Source organism: Homo sapiens, chromosome 6, assembly GCF_000001405.40.
Source record: "Homo sapiens chromosome 6, GRCh38.p14 Primary Assembly".
NCBI lineage: Eukaryota > Metazoa > Chordata > Mammalia > Primates > Hominidae > Homo > Homo sapiens.
In genome coordinates this window covers 49,183,667-49,205,699 of record NC_000006.12, presented here as the reverse complement: position 1 = coordinate 49,205,699, position 22,033 = coordinate 49,183,667, and the positions used below count along the sequence as shown (strand labels likewise).

General features: G+C 33.6%; 1 long non-coding RNA gene across 1 annotated transcript; it reads right to left on the bottom strand.

Annotated features, from left to right (window-relative positions):
* Positions 1-1,863: 1,863 nt before the first annotated feature.
* On the bottom strand, positions 1,864-3,025 carry LOC124901478 (uncharacterized). Its single transcript, XR_007059902.1, has 2 exons — positions 2,792-3,025; positions 1,864-2,021 (listed from the first exon to the last, which is right to left on the bottom strand). It is a non-coding gene; the product is annotated as an uncharacterized LOC124901478 (long non-coding RNA).
* Between the last annotated feature and the right edge of the window lie 19,008 nt (positions 3,026-22,033).

Here is a 22,033-nt window from a genome sequence, read left to right as displayed (position 1 = left end):
ATGATTGCTTACAGCTGCTAAGACTAAATTTGGAACTTATTCTGTATCTAGGAGCATTCTAGTAATTCCCATTAGTGTTTACAATTAATGTTTTCAGGATCTTAAAAAAATAGAGAGATGACTCTAAATAATGAAGGATTTGTATTTCTCTGATATATAGAAAGAATTATCTTCTCTGGATGTAGCTATATATCTCTCGTTCAGGTTAATTATTGTTTGTGTGCATTTGTCAAGAGAGGACTATATCAGTCAGCTGCATTTGTTCTAGTTTCATAATCAAGTTTTAAAACATGAATAGAGGAAAATAATCTATATTGTCTGGAATTTAAAACCAAGTTGTATCCCAAAAAGATACATGCTTCAGTTTCTTATAGAATTTTAAGGAGAAAAGTCATAAAAATGTTTATTCCAATTTTAGGAGGCTGAAATCAGATTTATTATATGATAAGACATTCATCTTGGTGATACAGAGCAAATTAAATATATTATTTTAATTTTAAGCAAAAATTTATTGAAAACATGATGTTGATAACAATAATCTTTTAAGCAAAGTAACTATGAAATAGTCTATTTCATGCAGGATGTAACTAAACCCACAGAGCTCAGTTATATCTCATGGAACATCTTATGGTTTACATGGTGCTATTACCTAAGTGTAATGAATGGAGAAATTTCCACCTTCCAAAAACACTGTCAGACCTCAGGATTAAAATAGGTAACAGAACCATGTAGTAAGACAACAGTGGTATAGTGAAAAATATTTAAGTACAGAAGAAGAAAAAAAGAAAAAGAAGTGTAAAAATCATGAGGGAGTAAAGAACTAAATGTGTTTCACCATCAGATTGGAATATTAATGTGATCAAGTGCCATGAGTAAAGAAGAGGGTGGTGGGAAAGAACGTCAAAGAGGATGGCTTAGGCTAGAGCTTTCAGTGATGCATGTGACTACATAGGCATAGTTTTAATCAGGTAGTCAGTGTTAGTGTCCCACCAGGTGAACAACATTATATGAGAATATCTGGGGACAGGAGTCAGCTGACAAGAATAGTTTGATATAGTTGTGTTACATTTGTCATTTTTTTGTGAGAAAGAAATGAACATTTAAAACTTTTAGAAAAAGGGCAGAAAAACAGTGTCCCATTGTGGATTCTTGGTAAATTAGGGGTAACCACCAGAAGAAAAAAAATCATATGTAAATTTTGAGCTATTGGAAGAGATTTCAATCTGAGCAACAGAAATTAGAAAAGAAAAAGAGGAAGAGAAGGAAAAGGAGAAGGAAGAGAGAAAGGGAAAAAAGAAAAAAGACAAATTGTAGTAAATAAAAACATTAAATTATACGGCAGATATAAATCTTTAGTTACGTGATGTTAGTGAAAATGGTTAGGGAAGGATGTCTAAAAATTTCTTCCTCCATAAAAGCAACAACAAAAACTTGCAAATATAATAAAATTCAACCTGATCAGAACTTTAGAAATTAGCCAAAAGCTTGTAACAATTTAGGCAGAATCTGTTCAAGAAAACTGGTTGCATCGGTGATGTAGGATTTTTCTCAGCAGGATCTGGCCAGCTTCTCTGGGTGCTGACATAGGAGCAAACTCCATGCAGGGCCCACAGCGAGACTAGATGTGTCACTTAGAGGGGAATGCAGTAGTGCCCAGGTGAGGGTGCCTGTGACCCTGAAGCCCTAGAGGGGGAGTTACGATGCTCCTTTAGCAGCTCAATGCTGCCGCGTCACGTGGGGTGGCTACCTTCCTCCAACAAGGGCAAAGGGCTGATGTTACAGCCTTTCTGAGTACTTGCACTCAGTGGGTCCCAAGTTCTTGTCCCACATTCAAGAAGAATGAAGTCATGTGGACAATTGAAGGATAGTAAAGGTGGAGAATTTTATTGAGTGATGAAAATGGCTGTCAGCAGAGAGGGGAACTGGAGAGGGGTTGGAAAGTGCAGGTCATCTTCCCTGAAGTCAGGTTGTCTCTTCCCTGAAGTCAAGCCATCTCGTCCTCTACTGAATGAGTCTGGGTTCTTTATAAGCACAGGATGGAGAATGCATGCTGATTGGTTTGTGAGTATGCACAAAAGGTTAAAGCAAAGACACCAATCAAAGGTGGGCAGGACAGCATAGAAAACTAATTAGGAAAGGGTAGGTATATGTAAAATAGGTGAAGGGTGAGGATCAATCAGAGGAAAGCACGTCAAACAGGAAGATAGGTTCTCAAACTGGTCCAAGGATTTAACTTGTAGCTTGGCTTTCAGGCTTTAAACTCTCTTTGGCTTGGAGGTGGGGCTTCACCAGATACTCATACCTATCTGCCTAGGCATTTGGCTGCCTCCTGTTGTTATAGTCAGCATAATTGCATCTTTGCAAAATGAGCTTTGTGGTGTTGTAACCAGCCCTAGTTCCATCCCATTTTCAGATTTTTCAGTAGCCTAAAATACTAACAGCCAATATTCATGGTGAAAACGAGCAGCCTGGAAGCCACTGGAGGGAGAGGAACCAAACTTGAGCTAGTTCAGTGCCTCCTTCTGAGAAAATTATAATCACTTGATCTGTCTAGTGGTTCCCTGGAAAACCCCATTTGCAATGCTGCCTGTATTTAAGCTGAGTCAGAACTCATCTAGTGTGAAAGGCCTTTTTGCTGGAGAGAAGCATTTGAGGAGAAAGAGTGAGGTAGGCAAAGAAAGAGAAAGAAAGAGAGAAACACGGGAAATGTGGTTTCATGCTGCTCTCCTGGGATTATAGTTGTTTTAATCAGAAGGAAAGAACCCACTCCCTTCATTATTGTTTTACATACCTGTGTATCTTTGTTGTTGCTGCTGCCACTACTGCTACCACCAAAAGATTGATTGGGGACTGGGGCACTAGAGAATGGAAAAAAAAATAAATGAGATTTCCCCCACTCTCTATTAGTATTAAGAGACCCCTCACCTTCTCCTCAAGTCAGCTCTAAAAAGCTGCTCTAGGATCTCTGTTGATACTGATGTCTGCTTTGAGGTTTTAGCGTGTGTTGAGTGGAAGCCTCAGGACACTAGAAAAGAAAAGAAAAGGAAAAGAAAAGAAAAGAAAAGAATTAAAAGACAAGACAAGACAACACTACACACACCACACGTATTGTGATACCTAGAATTCTGCTCCTCACCAATCCACCTACCATGATTTATTTTCCAGTCCTCACTTTACTGCTTCAAGCATTATCTCAAGGTTATTATGGTTGTATCTGTGAAAGTAAAATAAAAATCTCAGGACCTCAAACCACTATGCCAAAGAGAAAAGTTAAGCTTAGGAATTGAGTCACACAAAACTGCCTCCCAGTTTGTTCCTAAATAAATAGCTACAAAGATAGAAGGCTACATATCTCCTCAGAGGGTCTCCCTCTTAATTTGCTCACAAGGATATATCTTGTGAGCTCCAAGATTTTTATCCTAAAACAGTTCTGTTGAAATTTCACCCTGACAATATAGTTTAACAGTTTATCTTCACAGGTACAGGACAAAGAAAGAACTGAGAGTCATCCCTTGATCAGGCTCACCTGAGACAAATGCATATCTGATTGCTTCATCTACTGTATGTTTACTTTATTTTACGTAAAAATGCAGATTCACTGAGCACAAATCTAGTTAACTATTCCTCTACCGCCCCCCTTTCACCTGTAAAATATGGATTCAGTGTATGTTGATCAAAGCCTCAGAAGAATGTCACCCTATACTCTTTTATCTACCCTCCCACATTTTTTCTTTCTTCTTTCTCCTACTGCCCACTCTTTTCCCTTTAAATGCTGAAGTCCCCAAATCCTTTTTTGGAAAAAGCATGAGTTTTGTGTTCCTTTTTTCTAGGAAGTTCCTCAATCTTGGCAAAATAAACCTCTAAATCAATTGAGACCCGTCTCATACTTTTTGGTTTGCACATCCACTGGGAGAGACAGGGTCATGTGTACTCACTCTTATGCAGAGCCAGAAACTTATATCTATTTTTTTCCTTTATCTTTCTTGCATTTTCAATTATGCAATCTGATCCCCTTTGCATATTTTTTGTGTTCTTTCTCTAATAAGGTAGAAAAAATGGAAACAAGAAAGGAAAAAAAGGAAAGAGTAAAGGGAAGGTGAAAGGGAAGAACCAAGGAAAATTAGAAAAAAAGGAGGAAGAAAGGAAAGAAGACAAGACGGAGGAAAAGAGAAATATCTTTTATACTACAGTTGTTCTAAAATATTTTTGTTTCTAAAAACATTATTCAAAGGACACACAAAACCAAGCTTGTATCACAATAATTGATATATAAAAGCAGAGAGGTATTGGGTCATAAGCTTAAAACTGTGCTTTGTCTTCCTTTCTTGTCAAATTGTTACAGAAATTTGTGATATTATTTATTTTTAGGGATGTCCAATAATAAATCTGACGTCTTGTGCCATTTCTGCCACAGAAATAAAACAATTTGATGTTTCCCCTCACACACTGCTGAAACATATCAGTGTTTTCTGATTCTTAAGTTGTTTGGCAATAAAAAATATTTCCTGACCCTTCTGTAAAATATCTGTCTCTGTGCTTTATCCGATCTCATCTCATGCAAGCCAGGGGCTATTTTGTAAATTGATACATTGGTTATCCAAATGCTTGTGAGCATTTAAGTTATATTTACAGTAAGTTTTTGTCAGAAATAGATTTTTTTCTTAGAAATCGAGCTTATTATTTTGCTTTATAGTTAAGTTTATATGGTTTTTTTTTCTGTTTATTATGTATGGAAGATCAGTATTTAGAATGGGACCAGAGCTCAATTTTCTAGATTTAGCTGGTATTAACCAGCTAGGATAATATTGTGGATGTAAATTATGTAATCTAAATATCTAGAGGATCGCTAGGCAATGGGCTTATTTCAGTGTTATTTTTCTGTCAGCTGTATATGCAAGGGAGTAAATATGTTGAAAGAAATATGTTGAAATATATTAAAGGAAGGAAGCTACACTCACTGTAAATTCGAAGGATGCCTGGAAGACTTTTAGGGTACAACTCCTAGTCATTTATTTTATGAAAGAATGAGAATTCTATAAGAAACATCTTCTGAACCAGAATGGAAACATATAAGCTTGGCCTGGAACAATAGACCATTAGCCAAGAGGAGAACTGATGTTGACTACAAGAGTGTGCTATTTGGGTTACTTTCTATTCCAGCTCTCCCTGATCTACTCCTGAGCCCTCAGGTGAGGATACTTCAGAGAAGACTAAAAGAGCCACATCTTTGGTATGTTCTTAAGATCTGAGTGATCTGGGCAATGTTGCTTTCTCAGCCACTTACATAAATAGAGGTGGATGGCATTTGCTCTGCCTCAAATAAGTCAATAAATTAAGACGTAGAATAGAGGAGTAGCAGGATATGTCTTGAATCACAGAGAGAAAGGAAATGTGAGAATGATAAAGGCATAGCAACTTCTTGGTTAGTCTCCTACAAAGGCAACATCAGGAGTAGAAAAAGGAAAATGTTAGATGTTCTGGGACAACTAGAAGGCCCAGGATCACCTGGAAGGTAGCCCTTAGAGTCCTCTGGAGCTAGTTTAGAAGAATGTTAGCCCTGCTAAAATTCCCCAAACTGGGATGTGCAACAAAATAATCTAATTTTGTTATTGTTATGATACTTCTGTACCTGGAAACTGTTTCATATGAGAAACATAAATTACATATGTGTTTCTTTTTCTGTTACCAGAAAGAATAGAATAAGATCTAGAACTTATAAATATTGAATATAACACCTGAGAACATAAGTAAAATTTTGTTGAATATAATGTATTTCTACCCATTTCTTATGTCCCTTTCCAATTTACCTTGTTTCAGAGTTTCAGAGGACTTGAATCAGCATAAACAAAAATGAACAAACAAGTCAAGGGCCCAGAGCCATTGTAGCTGAGAAGTGACACAGTAGTTACGTGCTGCATCTGGGTACCAAAAGATACAGTTTTGATTACCATTATGTTTCTCATTTGATCCTAGCAATTACTTTATAAATATTTGCATTATTCTGTGGGCTCTAAACCTGTTCATGAGAAGCTATTAAAAAGATTGAGCTTATTTTTTTTAAAGTAATATTTCCTAAATCCTTTGCAGGTGTTTTGAATATAATATAAAGATTGCTCGCACGCTCTCTCTCTCTTTCTCTCTCTCCTCTCTCTCTGGAGTTTTACTGATCTAGAAAGTCCTAAACTTTGGGAACTATCACAACCTTGTTATTAAGGAAAATATGCTAAACTGAGTTTTAGGATATCTACCTTCTTAACCCACATTCCAAGGAAGGGACTTTAGGCATCATGTAAGCCAGTGGTTTTCAGCGTGGGAAGGTGGGTATCAGAATCATTTAGATCATCCTGTTTCTGGACAGGAGATAATGGATTAGTAGGACATCCTTGTCAACGTACATTTGTTGATCACCCAAAGCAGCAACATTTTTCTGAACACTAGTAATCAACCAAGTCAGTGTTCATTTATTGATCACCCAAAGTAGAAGCAGTTTTAAGAACACTAGTAATTTGTCAAAATATTTCAGGTAGCTATTTCCTTGCAATTAGTGCTGGTTCTGCTTGAAATGTGAGCACATCCCTAGATGCAAGAGTAGATAGCTGCCTAAGACCACGCGGTATTCACAGCATCCAAGAAGCAAGACAATTTAACAATTAATATTTCTTCATCAATGATTATATAAAATATATATGTATATCAGCATTCTGAAAAATTTGAATAGAAAATTTGAAATCAACTTAAAACTGAAAAGCTAAAATTGAACTGCTCAGAACTCTGATTTACAAAAATGAGCACATAGTTTGAAAAATGTCAAAGATAGGAATGACACCGACTGTGCAAATAAATCTATCAGGGTGTTACCTTAAGTGCTCTGATGCCAAGGCTGTAAACAACTTGAGAGCACAGTCCATAGTTTTTCATTTTGTTAAACTCCTTTTACTTGTGCATTCATTCACTGAATTATTAAGGACACACTTAAGGCCACCACTATGCTAGGCATAAGGACAGTCAGGAATAAGTTAGGCATGATACTCCTGTCTAGAGCATTGGTGAAAATAAGGTAGATTTTAATAACCTTTTACTGAATTGAACTCTTCTTCCTTCCTTTTCCTTCCCTCAATTTTTTTCTGCAAACATTCAATTATCTATTAATGATGATGAGTTAACACGGTTGTATATCTAATCTGTGCATTTTTAAGACTTCTATTTAAAGAGACTTGTGTGTGGTTTGTAAAATTTTGACTCTTTTTAATTTAGCTTTTCTAATCTTTACTCATTACCAAGAACATTTTTATAATGAGTGGTGAGGGGCTTAACATAATTTTCAATCATTGCCCCTCTTCAGAGCTTTTTTATGTTATGTCCTGACTCATTTGCCATTTTAATTGTGCTTTTACTTTAATCACTAGCATATCTTCTTTCTCAATCCTCTTTTAATGCTATTTTTGTAATGAGGACCATTAATCTATTTTGCTGACATTTCATTACATGTCTGCAAAATATGACTAACTGGCATTAGACTTTTGTCTCTATGGTAAGCCAGCTTCCATTGGATATATTGTTTGCATTTTTATATTCTTTTTACATTTTTTATTGTTAGACTTAGTGATAGTTTTATCTTCCTGTATACTTATTTTATCTTCCAAAACGTCAGGAACAGCATTATTTATTCAAAAGTAATAGATACTTAACACTGGGTAATATAATCTATTTTTTTCTGACCTTCAATAGTGACATTTGCTATCATGCCACCTAGTGGGTTCGTGTTTCTTGTTAGTGTATTCTCTCAATGAGTATACATCAAATCTCATTATGTTGCAAAGAAAACATGGCCTTAATATACTTAGCTTATATTCAGAATAACTTCTGTTTTTTTTCTCATTTTGCAGTCTTCAGTGCTATTTCTGGTTACCATTAACAATGGTTGGTGAATCACTAAATACAATTGGGGAAAGGAGTAGATCACAGAGGTCAATTTTCTAGGATCTAATTGCCTTTTTTAAAAGATAAATATGACAATTTGAGTGGCTCTAAGTCCTAATTAATTTACATTGTTAGGGAATAGAACTCCTGCCATCATGGTTAACCTGAATATATCACTATTAGTCATAAGATAGCAGAATAAAAAATAGAGAAGACAATTTTAAGCTAATTCCAGTAATTCTCAGAAATTTCATGTAAATGTTGCATAAGCGAAGGCCTACTATGTCCTGGGCAGAAAGACTCTTAATTTCCAATAGATTCTCAAAGGTATTCTTGATCCCCATGAAACTAAGAACAACCATTTTGGTCAAACTATTATGTGAATACTTTGGATAAGAAAATAGCCAATAGCCCATTGATGGTAGTTACTGAATTTGATGCTCACACTTCTGGGTCTGTTTTATGCTCTGGTTCCTTCAGAATAGTTTCTTTAAGAAGGAGAAAATTACTTTTTACACTCTTGCAATTCTCATAAATATATGGTTTGTGAATATATGCCCACTTTTACTTTGAATGTGTTACACACATTCAAATAAATATTCATATTGGTGAATATATACATACCTGAGAAGAGTTTTTAAAGTCATGACAGGTAGTTTATGAATTGACTCAAATAGCTGAAGAGATACATTTTAAAAAGTTTTCAGGACATCAAAAATTAGGTTTAGGAATTACTATAATCCAACTGATTATTGTAGACTATGTGGGAATATTATTTCTTGAAGGCTATCTATAGGAATGGATTCCAATGGCAATGATTTAAGTAGCTGAGTTAAACAAATCATTGCTTTTCTCCATGTTTTACTTTATCGTTTTTATCCATATAGGATGACTTCTTCAGCTTCAATTAACTGAGGACTAAGTCACAGATAAGAGACTATATGTTTCCAAAGCTATATGTTTCCTGTCTATAATACTCACCCAAGATTTCTAGGTAATTGTAAAAAAGTAAATTATATTATTTATCTAGAATAAATCTGGTAGGAAAAAGCCTTTTATTCATCCATGGAAAAGAAAAACTTAAATTTTTAAATGTCCACATTTAAGCAAGATACTAGTCTTTGCTCTGTACTTTCAATGAATCATGAAACATACTTCCCATTGAACCAGGAGGTTAACATAGACTACCTTGCATTGTAGAATACTAAGAAGATAAAGCTTTTGATAAGCAGAGATGCAGAAAAGGGGCATGGGCAAAGATAAGAATGACTAGAGTGTGCCTGGAGACCACGAGAAAATTAGTGTGACGAACCAGATAGATTGAAAAAGGGAGTACTAGAGAATAAACGTGAAAAGGCAATTTGTAGGTAAACAATGGAAGACTCTAAAATCTAAAATATTCCATAGTTACAAAGACTTTGGTGGGAACCACTTTCATATTCTAGCAAGATTAGAATGTAACACTGAAACATTTTCAGACCATTAATTTGGCAACTTTGTGCGGAATGATTTGGGAAGTCCTGGGGTTTGATGGGATGATGGAGGCAGGGGTACTTGAGAACATAATTACAAAAGTTTATGTGTGAGTTACTGCAAGTCTGCAAAAGTTTATGTGTGAGTTACTGCAAGTTTGGGTCAAGACAGTAAGAGGCAGTGCTAAAAGTGTGAGAGGCATCAAATAAACCACATAAAACATATTTAATCTGCCAAGGTTTACAAGAAAAAAGAGATAGAAAATTACACCAAAGAAATGAAAAAAAAATGTTTATGCAATGAACAGAAATGAAGCCTTTTAGGATAGGAAAGACAAGTTTTGTTTAGAAATGAAGGCACTCGGATGGCAGTGAGAATCAGGATCCAGGCTGAAGTGACTGATGCATACCTGCTGATTTATTCTAGGAGGTGGGGATAGCTGAAGGCAACCAGGAGCAGGCCCTTGTGCACCTTCTGGTGGAAACCATTTAGTTCTTTATGTGAATGGAACCACCAGGAGTTGTCTCAGGAAAGAAGGGTTATTGCTCTAGTCTTAGTATTTCTTGATGTCCACTTTTTCCTAAATATTTACTGAAATAAAACTAGTAGAAATTTATGAGGCACCTTCTAATTTCCAATAATAGTGCAAGGTAACATAGGCTATTTAAGAAATATAACAGTTTACTCCACACAAGTGTTTATGCTTTGGTAGAAGTGTATAATCGACTGGCTCAGAGTGGATTTTCAAGGGTTACCATAGAAATCATCATGTACTCTTCTTGGTATACAAACAGAGGGATATAGGAAAGTTGATAAATTCCAAAGGACAGGTATTTTCAGAAAAGACAGAAGAAATTGAGCATCTGTGCATTATTACAGAGAATCTGGAGACTAATGCAAATCACCACATTAGGGGGTTGGGATTAGTCTTTTACCAAAACCTTAATAAAAATAAAAATAAATTAAAAATAAATTTTAGAGCTACTAAACTGCAACCATCTAGCATTTTCTCATTCACTTCCTATTTCACTCATGTTTTCCCTGATGACTATTTATATATTTCCTTTCCCCTACTGACCTGTGGAAATAGCTTTCTCTGCAAAGTTGCCATTTTGCACAAATAGTACAGTACTGCTTCAGAGATTACATAGACTAAAACAGCCACACATTTTCTATTAGTCTGTGAAGCTGATTTGAGCTCTGCAGAATTAGAATACCCCTCTGGGTTTTCCAGTGTGCCAGTGTGATCAGTGGTGAGTGACCGCCCTTGGTATTTTCCTGCCTGGTGTGTTTCTCCTGAACTTGGAGGCAGTTTCACCTACCAGCCAGCAGAAAAATCTTTCTTTGCCTATCAAGGTAAGGTTGTAGTGAGGAGAAACATGGGGCAGGGGGAAAAGCCCTGAAGCAAGAACTGGAAACAAGGTTTGTGCCTGTTCTTATCTATCTATGTAACATTGCACATACCTTTTTAACACAGTGGGTCTTGTTTTTTATGTCACAACTCCTAAAATCTGGAGATAGGCAGGACCAAAAAAATAGCCATCATTTATATTCTATAAATTTTATTTTTTAAATTAAACAGAGATCAATAGGAATTAAATTTTAAACATTTCTACTGTAAAATAAAACATAGATAAAAAACCACACAAAATAAATTATACCTTAAGTCTCTCTGTCACCCAGATTGTATTCTGTTTACCAGCCACCCCAACTCCTCTCCCTGCCCCGTTGTCTTTCTCTCAAAGTAAGCCCTCTGCTGATCCACATGTAATCACTCCCATATGTTTCTTTATGGTTTTATCACACAAATATCTATTTCTGAGTACTATAATTTAGTCTTGCCAGTTTGGGGTTTTTGATATTTCTTTTACGTCTCCTTCAACGATAGAGGTTCCCCCTCCCTCCTGTTTCCCTTTTTCTCAGATTCATTCCTCCTTGTTTCTTCCCTTTGCTTTCATCTGAGCAGATTCCAATATGACACAAGTCTTGTCACTATTGGTAGTTTGTCTCACCCACTTGCAGTTTGGTGTTCATGAGGATATTGTCACCAAATTTTGTTGCAAATGTTGTCCATGGTTTTTTAGTTTTACAATCTGGTTGTTAACTTAAAAATGTGTGGGTATTCTGGAAGATTCAAAAACAAAACCATTGCTGTCATCTTCTCATAATTCTTGGTAATAATAATCTTACGTTAGATAATTGTGAAAAATAAAGATGGTCTATCCTGTTATGTGCTCATGCATTTGTTCCCAGTGTTTTGGGATTTTTTTCTGTCCTTTCGGGAATTGTATTTTAAAATTTCTCCCAACGTGTTGTTTCTCATATTATGAATGGATGCTGTGTTTTCCATGTACAGATGACATTCCAAGCCTACTATCAGTAGTGCTTGCATTTTACTTTTGTTATTTTTTAGGAATAATGATAGTTTTGAGCTATCTAGAATTTTTATCTCCTCTTTTCTATGAAAAATAACATATTGTTATAAGAGTAAAGGCCTAAAAATAAGTGTATCATTTTTGGGCAGAGTAGAAACAAGATTGAACACTTACCTTTGCTCATTATCCCATCTTCTGTCCATCGGTTTGATCTGCAACAACCTGATACATTTTATGGGAATATCTAGAGCAAAAGAAAAGTAATGGCATTCTTAGGATTCTGAAGAAACTTTGAGTGTGGACTTCTTTTTTTTTTTAAGTTTTTATTTGGGATATTTTTAGATTTCTAGAAAGTTGCAGAAATAGTACACAGTTTTCATATAAGCTTCATCCAATTTCCACTATGTTAACGTTGTATATGACCATGATACGCTTGTCGGAACTAAGACATTAGCATTGGTACAATAATATTAACTAAAGACTTCATTTGGATTTCATTCTTTTTTTCACTAATATCCTTTTTCTTTTGCTCAGAGATCCAATCCAGTATGTCCCTTTATGTTAGTCATCATGTCTTTTTAGTTCGCTTATTAATAGTTTATTAACCTCTCCTTGTTTTTCATGACTCTGACAGTTTTGAAGAGTCCTGGTTACATATTTTGTATAATGCCTCTCAATTTGGGTTTCTCTGATCTTTTTCTCATTATTAGAGTGAATAAATATGAGCTTACATTTTTATAGTTTGCTTTTGCACTCTCACTCCCCATTTAAAAATAATGGAAGGGTGGTCAAATATCCTGGCTAAATCAATAGACATTAGCTGGAAATGGATTTTGTCTATACAATGAGCGAACACTTCCTGATGGAACAGAAATACTGTGACAGATAATTTTTATGCAAGTTCCAGCTTCAGTATTACATTATTCTTCTAAATACTGGGAGCTTTTGGGGGTAGGGGGGGCAAAGAAACGTTAGTAAGAAAACGAAAATGTTCTAGTTGGTATGAGAAAATTTTCCATAAGAATAATGAACATTTCCATGCCCAGCATGACTACACATTGGGAATATTTTTTAACATTCTAATTTAGAAAAGATAATTTCTTACTAGACACACTCATAGAGGAATGGTTTAGGAATAGAATCAGGAAATACTTGAACTCATAAAAATCAAATACAATGAGTTTTCCTAGATAACTAAGGTTAAGAACTTTTTAAAAATTTCAGCTTTCTCCTGGATTTTGTTATCTTTGGGGCAATGCAGTAGATTTTAAAAGAATAATTTCTCTTCTCTTTGCATTATAATGATAATACCATAAATGCGTACCCACTAATAAGCTACAGCCAATTATCAATATTCAAATTGAAAGAATTTTTTTTTCAGATTTGTATATTTGCCCATCCACATTTCCAGTGCAAGTTAAGCATTTCTTGCTGGAGATGTTGGTTGGAGGAATGGGAGATTAATGCCATATTCCTATAATAACTTCTGAAATGGGGAACTTCATGGATTTACTACATAAGAGTTAAATAAGGATATCTCAGAATGATTAAAGAGTAAGCTTTTCATGAACATTTGACAAAATACTTTTTCTATCCCTATTTGGAAAGCTGGAAAGATAAGTTTTCTTTTTAAACATAAGTGAACCTACTTAGTATTGTAATAAATGGCTCCAGATTGAAGCAAATATCCACATGAATTTTAATCACCTAAATTCTGAAGTTACTCATTATTCAGCTAACTTATGAGTAGACATATTCAGCCACAGTAACTTCTGGGGTGCTTATGTGTACATTTCATACTCAGGGTAAAACATGCACTCATGAAAATGTAATGTTAATATGGCCATTTCTGCCTAAAGATTTTAGTGTACTTGAGTTTATGCTAGTGAAATTCCATTAAAAGTTTCACCGGCTGTGACCTTGATTAGCTTGGAATCTGTTATAAAATAGGGTACCTGATTAGAAAATCAAGAAGAAAGACTTAGCAGGTTGTCACAAACTGATTTACCAATCTGTTTACTACTGTGAATGCTAGATGCAAGCACAGCAGCAATAAAATGCAGTGTGCCCTACTCTTTAAATATGGACTTGTCTCTGAAAAATGGACTTTGAAACTATTTACAATAAACTTTTAGATTTTTATAGTCAAGTGAGTATCTAATGTTATGGGCCGAATGTGTCCCCCTAAAAGATGTTGAAATCAGATTAAATGAAGTCATTATGGTGGGCCCTAATCTAATATGACTGTGTCCTTACAAAAAGGAAATTCAGACACAGTGACAGACACACATAGGGAACACCATGTGAAGATAGAGATCAGCATGATGCGTTAGAATGAATTAGAATGACCCGTTATTTTATTGTTTGAAAATTTTTAGAAAGAATGATATTAATTCTTCTTTAAGCATTTGGTAGAATTTATCTGTGAATCAACTGGACTCTGGCTTTTATTTATGGAAAGTATTTAAATTATTAATTCAATATTTTTACTTGTTATAGATAATTTTTCTATTCCTTCTTGAGTTAGTTTGGGTAATTTTTGTCTTCCTAGGAATTGATCTATATATCAAAGTTGTCTAATTTGTTGACATGCAATTTCCCATAGTATTCTCTAAAAATTATTTTTATTTCTATAAGGTCATTATTAACATCCTCTCTTTTATACTTGATTTTAGCAATTTGAATTTCACTGATTTTTCTCATCAGTTTAGCTAAACATTGAAAATTTTCTTAAGCCTTCCACAGAACCAACTTTTGTTTTTTAAAATTTTCTCTATTCTTTTTAAAATTTAATTCTGCTATATTCTTTATTATGTCCTTCTTTCTGCTAACTTTGAGTTTAGTTTGCTTTTATATTTTTAGTTCTTAAACTGGAAGTAGGTTATTGATTTGAAAACTTTCTTTAATGTACGTGTTCACAGCTATAAATTTCCCCGTGAGCACTACTTTTTCTGCATCCCATAAGTTTTGGTATGTTGTGGTTTTGTTTTCATTCATTCACAATATTTTCTCATTTCCCATGTTACTTTTTCTTAGATCCATTTTTTATTTAGGAATGACTGTTTAATATTCACATATTCCAAACTTCCTTTAATTATTGATTTGTAATTTCATATCATTATAGTCAGAAAATACTCTGTATATACACTATTTCTAAATTTAATGAATAAAGTTTGCTTTATGGCCCAATATGTAGTCTATCCTGAAGAATGTTCCATGTGTACGTGAATGTCTAGTCTGATTTTTGGGATAGAATGTTCTACACATGGCTGTAAGGTCCAGGTGGTTTATACTGCTTTTGAAGTACTCTGTTTCCTTATGGTAAGGATAAACTATCTAGGATTGAAAATGGTATTTTAATATCTTCTATTATTATTTAATATCTTCTACTATTATTGTTTAATTGGCTATTTCTCTAATTGCATCAGTTTTAGCTTTATGTATGTTGGGACTCCTAGGTGCATATATATTTGTCATTGACATGCTCTCTTGGTAGATTGACCTTTTTAGCAAAATGTAGTATCTTTTTTTGTCCCTTATAATATATATATTACATTCTAATTTGTCTGATGTTAGTATAACCACTCTAGTTCTCTTTGTTTTCAGTTTGTATATTACTTTCATCTTTTACTTTCAACTTATTTTTGTCTTTGAATGTAAAGTACATCTTTTTGTGGACAGTACAAAGTTGCATAATGCTTTTTTAAAAATCTCATTAAGCCTATTTCTGTCTTTTGAATAAAATATTTATCTTTTAATGTTCAATATAATTACAAAAGATAGAGATTATGTCTATCAATCATATTAGTTTTTTCTACATGTCTTTTGTCTTATTTTTCTATTTCTTCATTACTGCCTTCTTTTTGTTAAATAGACATTATTCTAGTAGCATTTTAAATCCCTTATTGTTTCTTTTACAATATATTTTAAAAACTGTTTGTTTAGTAGTTCCCTTACAGAATTTAATTACCATCTTAATTTCAAACAATCTCATTTGGATAATAATAACTTAACTTCAATATTACCAGAACTGAACTCCGGTATAGCTCTGTTCTCTCCCCCATCCTTTGTGTAATGATTTTATAAAAATTTATGAAAAGTTCTTACCGTGTAAGAATATATCTAAATCATATTTACACATGATAAGCCTATCAATAAAGTTTTATAATTATTGTTTTATGTAGTTGGTTTTTAAATTATATAGATGAAAATACATTTGTACTGGTTTTTATATTTGCCTTTTCAGTACTCTTTCTTTCTTTTTTTTTTTTTTTTTTGAGACGGAGTCTCACTCTGTCGCCCAGGCTGGAGTGCAGTGGCGCGATCTCGGCTCACTGCAAGCTCCGCCTCCTGGGTTCACGCCATTCTCCTGCCTCAGCCTCCCAAGTAGCTGGGGCTACAGATGCCCGCCACCACGCCCAGCTAATTTTTTGTATTTTTAGTAGAGATGAGGTTTCACCGTGTTAGCCAGGATGGTCTCCATCTCCTGACCTCATAATCCGCCCACCTCGGCCTTGCAAAGTGCTGGGATTACAAGCATGAGCCACCGCACCCGGCCAGTACTCTATTTCTGTGGATTCCAGTTACTGTGTAGTAACTTTCACTTCAGAGAATACTAAAGAACTAGTTTTTGTATTTCTTACAAAGCAGGTCTGCTAGTGACAAATTCTGTTTTTGTTCATCTGGGACTATTTTAATTTCTTCTTCATTTTTGAAAGATAGTTTTTCTGGACACAATATTCTTGTTTGCCATTCTTTCTTTCAGAACACAGACTATGTCATCCCACTGACTCCAGTCATCCATGGTTTCTTCTGAGAAGCCATCTTTTAATTTTATTAAAAGTCCCTATATGTGATAAGTAAGGTTTTGTTTTTTTCTTTTTTCTGCTGCATTCAAGACTCACTCTCTATAACTGGCTTTTGACTGTTTTTCTATGATGTGTTTTGGTATGGATCTCATGTGCAATTTGTTGAGTTCTTTGCATTTACAGACTAATTTTTTTCATTAAATTTATAATACTTTTAGTCACTTTTTTGGGGAAATATTCTTTCTGCTTCCTTCTCTCTCCTTTCCTTTGGGACTCCCATTATGCATAGTTGTTATGCTTGATAGTGTCTCATAGGCTTCTGAGACTTCATTCAATTTTCTTAATTCTTTTTTTTTCTTTCTGTTGCTTGGACTCAACAAAGCAAACTTGAATATAGGTTAAAATCTCAATTGAGATTTAATTATATTTAAATTATACTTTAAAATATTAATAATTAAGACTTTGACCTATATTCAGGTTTGCTGAGTTTTTAAAATCTATAATCCATAATCTGCTACTGAGCCCTTTAGTGAATTTTCCATTTCAGTTATTGTATTTTTCAATTTTATAATATGTATTTATTTATTTTTAATAATATCAGGCCATTTGGTGTGACATAGTCCTCATACTTTAAAAAATTTCTTTAGACATGATTTTTAAACATTTTGTAATAATTTAGAGTCTTTGGTAAGTCCAAAATGAACCATACTGGTTTCCTTAAGGACAATTTCTATTGACTAGTTTTTTCCTCTGTATGGGCCATAATTTTCTGTTCATGTATCTTAAACTTGCTGTTGAATATTTGACATTTTAAATAATATAATGTGGTAACTCCAGAAATGTTTCCACTACCTCCAGGCTTTATTGTTTTTCATATTTATTGTTGTTGCTGCTTCTGTTGCTGTTGTCTATGGAACACTTTCCTTGACCGATTCTGTAAAATCTGTGTGTGTGTGTGTGTGTGTGTGTGTGTGTGTGTGTGTGTGTGTTTCATGGGCAGACACTGAGATTTTAAAAATTTATTGAATCAATATGTTGCCTATTATTTGCTGAGATTTCTTTAAATGTCTTGAATAAATATGTTGCCTATTCTTGGCCGAGGGACTTTCAGCAAAGGGTAGGAGTATGTGTTGGGCATATTTTCAACCATCTAACAGTTTAAAACTTTGTTTTCATCTTTAGTTTGTGTTTACATTGGTCCTCAAGGTCAGCTAGAGATTATACAGCAGGGCCTTTTCAGGTCTTTTTTTGGGTGTTTACAGAGTTGTGTACATGTGCATAATCTTCTAGGCCCCCTAGAATATACTGAAGCTTTTCAAAGCCCCCATGGATATTTCATTACACGTATCTTCATTTTAAAATTTGTGGCCAGCTTCTTGTTGTCCCAAATGGTGTCACTACCTCAAGGAGCTGTTAACACTAAGCAAATGCCATACTTATTTTCAACAAATGCTGTGATGGTAGGGCTTTTTCCACTGAACAAGACCTGAGTCAGGTCAGATTATTGACTAACCGTGAGAATGGAATTTATCCAGGAAGCTTCCAAACAGTTCAAACAGTGATAGTCTGTGAAGATAGGGCTTTTTAGGGAGCTTAAAATCCATTCTTCCTACTCCAGTGGTTGTTAGACAGCCGATTTTCCTTAGCTACCATAGTTCTAATGCTGCTGGTTTTCAAACCTTCCGTGAAGCTGAAGATAGGAGGATGAGGACAGAGCACATTAAAATGTCAGAAAGCTCTTTGCTTTTCCTGAAATTCACAATTTTTTCTTGAGTTCCTTAAATTTATTTTGACAATTTTTGCTATTGTCCCAACTGCTTTTATGGAGAGATGAAATTTCAGAGATTCTTCTTTTTTATTTTGCCTTTCTGGAAGTATTCTTCAGTAGGGCATTTTAAACTATATTTTTATGTAGTCAAATGTATTAATTATTTTCTTTTATATGTTTAGCCATAATTATATTTTTAATAACATACTTAATATTCTTTGGGTAAATATATACACATATATATGTAAGTAATTCATGATACTTTTTTCTAGCATGTATATGATTTTATGTTTTACCTTTAGATCTCTGACCCTCTTGAAATGTCTCTGAATATACAATGTGGGGAATAGAACCACCTTTATCTTTTTCCCAAAAGCTTTATATTGTCCCAAGTTCATTTATTATTATTATTTTTTAAAGATATAGGGTCTTGCTCTGTTGCCCAGGATGAAATGCAGTGGTGCAATCTTGGCTCGTTGCAGCCTGGATCTCTGGAGCTCAAGTGATCCTTCCGCCTCAGCCTCCAGACAAGTCTACTTAAAAAATCCTTTTTCCTCAATTATTTGACATGCCATCATTTTTTACTCTAAATTTTCATATGAACTTAGGTACATTTCTGGATGTCTATTCTGTTTCATTTTTTATCTTCCGATTGAAATATCATCACACTTTTAAAGTTATACTATCTATATAATGTGTTTTAGTAGCTCATAATGCTTGTCCTGCCATTTTGTTTTATTTATAGGGTTTTAATGGTTATACTTCATTTTTATTTTTATCTTCATTTCATAATCAACTTGACTGGCTGGCTAGGGGGTTGAAGGTAACCTGATGATTTTTTTATTTGGGTTGTATTAAATTTATAAATAAACCTATGGAATACTGATATATTTGTGATTTTAAGTCTTCCTTTTCAAAAATATGATGTGTATGTATTTGTTTATATCTTTTTAAATATTTAAAAGTGCTTTATAGAGTCCCTCATCTAGGTTTTGTATATTTCTTTTAAACTTAATGCTTAAGTATTTGTTGCTTTTTTTTGTTTTAATGGCATCTACACATTTATTTTTCTCCAAAATGGCTATTATATAAATGCTATTAATTTTTGTATTGAAATGTATCTTGATATTTATAAAATTTTCCATTGTTAGAAAAAGTTATTTATTTTTAAATTTATTATTTTAGATTTTCTAAATAATTATGTCTTCTGGAAATTTTTTTTTGTTATTTTCCAAGTTTTATGTCATTGCTTTATCATGTCTTACTTTATTTACTAAGAATTTTGATATTGCTAAATAAGTAAGAAAAATTTGGACTTTATCTCCTATCTCTAATGAAGTAAAATCTTATAAATCAATTTTCTTAGAACATTATTGAAATATTCAATTTTCAAATTTATTTGCATATCATTATGCCAAGCAGTTTTTTGACCTCAGCACTTTTCACACACTGGGCTTGGTAAGTCTTTGTTTTAGGGGACTACCTGTGTATGGAAGGAGGGTAGCAGCATTCCTTCCTCTTCCTAGAAGATCCCAGACATTCGTAAGTGTTCTCAGATGAGGGTAAGAGAGTAAAATTGCTTTTGTTTAAAAACCACTGAAATAAGGTAGTCTTTTATGATTTTAAAAATTTCCTCTAATGGTTATTACTCTAAATATCTGTATTTGTGCTCCTTACATGTACTTTAATCCATATAGCTAATGATTTGTCTACATTGCTACCATAAACAATACCCAAGCTTTTTGATTTATGCATTTTTCTATTTTTGTTTTATATTTATTAGTTTCTAATTTTTGACTTCATAAATTCTTATTTTTTGCTTTATTTTGGTTTACTTTTTCTTTTTTCTTGCTTTTTGAAGAATGTGTGTGTGTATGTATGTATGTATATGTCTACACACACAGAGGCATATATAGTCAGTGAAGAAATTTGATCTAAAAATTTTCCTGATATCTTTATAATTTTATCTAATATATTATTATAGGTAATGTGTTCACTTTTTTATTAAGAGAGTTTTTTTTAATTGTAGGTAAGAAAGCATTTTTGGATGTGTTTTCTTTTTTGGTATTATAAAACTTAGTGTCTAGTTTTATTGCACTGTGTTTAGAGAATGCTGTTTGAATTATTTCTGTTTCTTGAAATTTAATAAAGTTTATTTTAATGTAGTCACTTTTTAAAACTGTTTACTTTATACTAAAAGGGAGATTTTTGTTGGAATATATATTATATAAGCCAATATATTAAATATATACATATATATACATGCACTCTCCCATTGATTATATCGTTTAGCTATTCTATTGCATTAGTTCAAAACTTGATATGTACTTATAGTACTACCATACTGAATACATCATTTAGATATTCTATTTTCTTTACTGAAGTTTTGTTCATTTAATCTGCCTTGAATGGGGAGATATGGATTAAAAACTACTATTCAGTTTTTGATGTTGTTGTTTTATTTCTCCTTCCATCTCCATTTTTCTCTAATTTCTGTTGTCTATAAAAATACAAAAGGCCAGGTGCAGTGGTTCATGCCTGTAATTCAAACACTTTGGGAGGAAAGGTAAGAGGATCACTTGAGGCCAGGAGTGTTCAAGATCAGCCTGGTCAATAGCAACATAGCAAGACCCCATCTCTAACAAAAAGAAGAAGAAGGAGGTGGGGGGAGGGAAGCAAAGATTGTGTCTCCTGCTTTTTCTTAGTGTATTTCCTGATTTTTAAACCATCTTTTTATTTTTAACCATTTTCTAATTCACTTTGTTTTATGTGAGCCCTGTATATGGCATAGAGTTATATTTTTCTTAGTATTCTGCAAATCTTTCCCTATAACAGGGGAATTAAGCCAACTCACTTTCATTGATAAGATAAAGGTTTGATCTCAGTTATGATTTTTTTCCTACATAAAAACTTTCACTATGTCATCTCTCTCTCTCTCTCGCTCGCTCGCTCTCACTCTCTCTTCTCCTACCTTCAGCATTCCACTTATTTATATTAAAATTTGGGGTTATTTGTGTACCAACACCTTTATGTAATGCCTTTGGTTCAGTTTTTATTAGGCAGTGGTTCCAAGCTAGCATCAATACTGAAATAAGTTAAAATATTTTTTCTCCCTTTTTCAGAGTGTCTATCTTAAAGGAATATCCTTTAATCTCAGTTTATACTAAGGAGACAAGTGGCATACTTTTTCTACTTGCCTTATGCTTTACCATTTTATTTCCAATTTGAGGGTTGTATTTTTACCATAATTATTATATACCAATTTTATTCTCTTTTGTCATCTTTTTGTACATTATTTATTCTTATTTCTAGAGTTAAATATAATCAGTGCTCACTGCTTGAACTTTTTGCCAAGTGTCTCTTATTCCTTAGTGGCCCAAAGATTTTTCTTTGGTATATTTCTCAAGGTGAAAACATGGTAAAACTATTATCTGAGTTCTTATGTATTCATAACTGTTTGTCTTTGGTCTTTATTATTGAGAATCTGTTTGGATATGGCATTCTTGGCTCTTATTTTCTTTCTTTAAGTACCTTAAATAAATTACTTCATTATTATCTGATCCAAGGTGTTGCAGTTAAGAAGTCTAAAACCAATCTGATATTCTTTTATAAGTGACTTGGTCTTTTTACCTCAATTCCTCAAAGACTTCTTTTTCTGTTTGATTTTTTTTTTTACTTTAATGTCTAAT